At 41.3% G+C, this 4,155-nt stretch overlaps 2 annotated features.

Annotated features, from left to right (window-relative positions):
• Positions 621-790: an enhancer, noted in NCBI's record as "experimental_12804 CRE fragment used in MPRA reporter constructs". NCBI's record gives its function as "activates a minimal promoter by MPRAs in K562 erythroleukemia cells, with activity observed for both the introgressed and non-introgressed 10:44629352 variant alleles {active_cell/tissue: K562}" and the evidence as "EXISTENCE:reporter gene assay evidence [ECO:0000049][PMID:34662402]".
• Positions 1,078-1,247: an enhancer, noted in NCBI's record as "experimental_12798 CRE fragment used in MPRA reporter constructs". NCBI's record gives its function as "activates a minimal promoter by MPRAs in K562 erythroleukemia cells, with activity observed for the non-introgressed 10:44628895 variant allele {active_cell/tissue: K562}" and the evidence as "EXISTENCE:reporter gene assay evidence [ECO:0000049][PMID:34662402]".

The raw sequence follows: 4,155 nt of genomic DNA, 5'->3' as shown, positions 1-4,155 counted from the left end.
GACAGTATCTCGTAGGTGTTACATTATCAAAAATATATAGCTAATTACATACATGAACACATGAATAAAAGAGGGTTATGCATTGACCAAAGATGATAGTGCAATGAGCCAAAAATTATGTTGTGCACTGGAGGTGAAGGAGTGAGGGGAAGAGAGAAAGAAAGGCTCAGACCCTGAGGCGCATCAACTGAGTGTGGGGAAAAGCTACAGATCATAATGGAAGAGAAGAAGACAGTGTTTTAATTTTGTTCCTGTTTGCTGTGGCCAGTTGCAGCCCACCATAATATGTTAAGAAGGCTGTCCCACAGGGCAGCCCACTCTGAGCTCAACCTGGAGCCAACTGAACATTGGAAACCATGCATCTCATCTGTGGCTCCCTCATTACCCCCATCTTGATTTCTGAGTTTACTCATCTATCGTCGGTCTGTTCCTCCTCCTCGTTACTTCAGCACTGTGCATGTGTGTTTCTGTTGTCTTGGTGTTTGACACTCTCCTGATCACACCTTTGCCCTGTATCTCAGCTCAGGGGCTCTTATCTTTTGGAACCTACACCTCATACAGGATTGGAGCTTTTCTTAAGAACACTCAGGTTTCAGGGTTCTGAGTTCTACTCCCAACTCAGTCCACTGAAGGAAGGACACAAATAGGCAAGGCTTAAAAATGTGCTTCAGTCTAAGTCTCAAGGATGAGATAAAGGTGTTAAATGCCATTTGATGTTAAAGTTTTATATATATGCCTGGACATTATCAGAAACACATAATTTTTAAAATTGTGCTTCAAAGACCACAACACTGCTTCAGTTGAGACATGTGATAATTCCACACAACAAAGAAACCATGGCATTAGCTGAGAGGGACCTTGGCACATCCGGATAGGCACTGCTTCATGGAAGGAAAGAGGAAGTTTAGACCAGGTTGCATGCTGGGACCAGTCTGTCCAGATTTGAATCATGGCTCTGCCACTTATTGGTGGTAAGTTGAGCCCCTGTTCACCTAAGTCTCCTTATCTACCAGATGGTGACACTAACAACCCAGGATTGTTGTAAGAGTGACCAAGATCATAGTCAGGGTGCATACAGCCATCAGAACAGTGCATTGCTTAAAGTGAGTGTGGCATACACATTGCTGTTATAATTGTTTGCGGAGCTGTCTCAGTCCTTTCAATTACAGGTCATCTGACCTGTCTCATTTCAGCTCTTTTATTCCTAGTTTCCCCTAAATGAGGGCCTTTGGAGTAGAGACTACTCCAATGTCTGTGCTTCAGGAGGAAGAAAGTGGTTGATTCTGCAGGTCTTTGCTGCTCTACCAGAGCCTGTCTACTGTTTTCTCAAATCTGATCGAACTTGTATGCGCTGCAGGGCCTAGGCAGGGCCCTTTGGAGACAAGATTTGTCCTGCCTGTGCTGCTCTCTGTGCTGTGCCTTCTGGGTGCTCAGGGGCTCACAGCAGACCCCTCAAGAGAGGTTCTACCCAGTAACCTCACAGCTTCTCCACTGGGCTGCCTGTGGTGAGTAGCAGATGTTCTGTTCCCATAGAGCAATGCCTGAGCAAGGCTTGAGGTGCCTCGGATTATGCCCAAACACTGACCAAACATGGGAGAAATCAGCCCTCAGATGTGAAATCAGCCAGACCACCCCCAATCTTTGCTACTGTCACTGCACATTTCAGTGTGTCAAAAACAGCCACCTGTACCAAGGTTTCTGAAAGGGCTGGTAAGCCTCTGCATTGGGCTACGGATAAGGCTGAGATCCATGCAGTGACATCTGGCATGAACAAGTGGCTCAGAGTGTTTTCAAAAACATCTTGTTCTTCACAAGGACCGCTTCTGCCAACCAGATCTCCTTCCTGAGATGAGAATGGACCTTCAGTCCATTCTATGTGGTTCTGACTCCTTTATCCTGGGCTCCATCCAGGTTGAGCAATGGCCATGGGATTATCTCATGTCTGAGAACTTTTAACTCCATGCTGCCCCCAAACTTTCATAATCCTCCCAAGTGGGTTGCATAGCATGGCGCAGCCCCTCTCACCTACCCGAAATGGACACTTTCCCAAGGTCAGTCACACCGCTGGCCAGTGCAGTTTCCCAATTCATGGTGTCATGACCTCCCATGTGTGCCCCAACTGCCCTCTCTATGAGTCCCCTGATACACTCTTGGTGCTTGGCAAGCATGAAATCACGAACGGAACTGGAATTCATGCAGTCAGCTCAAAGGGGATTTCCTCGATGTGAATTCTTTTCTAAGACCTCATTGATTGTTCTCCTGAGGCTGATTGTGGAAAAAAACTCTGAACTCACATGAATTTGGTGGACCAAGGACCTCCTTTAGGGGAAATTAGCAAACAAAAAAAAAAAAAAAAAGAGAGAGAGAAAGCTGAGAAGAGACAAGTCAAATGACCTGCAGTGGAAAGTACTCTGAGACAGCTCTGCAGTTGTTGGGAGATAAAGAGATTTTAAGATGAGAAAAGAGAAAATGACAGCCAGGTTACGGGGCTTCCAGGGTAGAGTCCATGGGGCAAGAGAGCTGACATTTATGCTGGATGTTTCTCAGGCCTGCAACCAGGATACTTATATTTAATCACATTATAATCAAGGTAATGCATGTACATAATTAAAAATCAAATTACTCTGCCCTCCAAAAAAGGCTTAAGATTTTATATATATATATATATATATATATGGAGAGACAGAGAGAGAGATTTCTTGTCCTTGTCTCATTCCCCAGGGAATAACCTTTGGGTCGTTTTATAGATGGTTGTCACCATTTATAAAATGAATTTGGACGTGTTCTCCCCTCTTCTATTTTATGAAAGAGATTGAGTAAAATTGGTCTTATGTATTTCTTCTTAAAATATTTATTCAAATTTTCGAGTGAAATTATCTGGGCCTAGACAATTCTTTTTCAGAAGAGTTTCAACTACAAAGTCAACTTGTTTTATACAGATTGTCTATTTAATTTTGAGTGAGTTTTGATAATTTTTGGTATTCAAGGAATTGGTCCATTTTTTTTTATTTATGTATTTTTTGAGACAGCGTCTTGCTGTGTTGCCCAGGCTGGAGTGCAATAGTGTGATCCTTGGCTCACTGGAACCTCTACCTCCCACTCTCAAGCCCCTGAGTGGCTTGGACTACAGTTGCATGCCACCACCCCCCGGGAAAATTTTTTATATTTTTTGTAGAAATGGGATTTAACCATATTGCCCAGACTGGTCTCAAACTCCTGAGCTCAAGCCGTCCGCCCACCTCAGCCTCCCAAAGCACTGGAATTACAGGCATGAGCCACCATGCCCAGCTGGAATTGGTCCATTTCTTTTAAGTTGTCAAATTTATGAACATAAAATTGTTCATAATATTCTCTCATTATTATTTGAATGTCTGCAGTGTTTGTAGCAATATGCCTTCTTTCATTCGTATGCTAATAAGTTGTGCCTCTTCTCCTTTCATCTTCATCGATCTTTTAGAAGTTTATCTTTTTAAAGAACTAGCTTTTGGTTTTATCAATTTTTCTCTATTAGTTTTATATTTTAAATTTTATTTATTTCTGGTCTTATCTTCATTATTTTCTTGCTTCTGCTTGCTTTGGGATTATTTTATACTTCTTTTCCTAGAGTCTGGAGATAAAATCTTAGATTATTTATTTGAAATTTTTCTTCTTTTCCAACATTAGCCTTTAATTCCATAAATTTCCTCTCAGCACTCTACCCACGTTCTGTAGATATAATATGCTGTATTTTCATTTTTCCTCAGTTCAAAATATTTCCTGCCTTCCCCTGAAATGTACATCCCGCTTTGTTTAGGTGGAGAATTTTATAAATGTCCATTAAATTCATTTGGTTAAAGGTTCAGTTCAGATCTTCTCTATCCTTGCCGATTCCCTTTCCATTAGTTCTATCCATTACTGAGAGAGTTGAAGTCTCAAAACTATGCTTGCAAGTTTGTTTATTAATACTTTATTTCTGACAGTTTTTGCTTTATTTTTTTAAGCTCTGTTTTTAGTTTTTATACACCTTGAATGTTATGTCTTCTTGGTAAATTGACTCTTATGGTTATGGAATATCCCTCTTTGTCCCTGGTAATTTTCTTTGCTCTGAAGCCTATTTTGATATTAATATAATCATTCCAGCATTAGATTAAAGCTTGCATGGTCTATATTTTTCCA

Source organism: Homo sapiens, chromosome 10 (genome assembly GCF_000001405.40).
Source record: "Homo sapiens chromosome 10, GRCh38.p14 Primary Assembly".
Lineage (NCBI taxonomy): Eukaryota > Metazoa > Chordata > Mammalia > Primates > Hominidae > Homo > Homo sapiens.
This window is presented reverse-complemented; position numbering and strand designations above follow the sequence as displayed.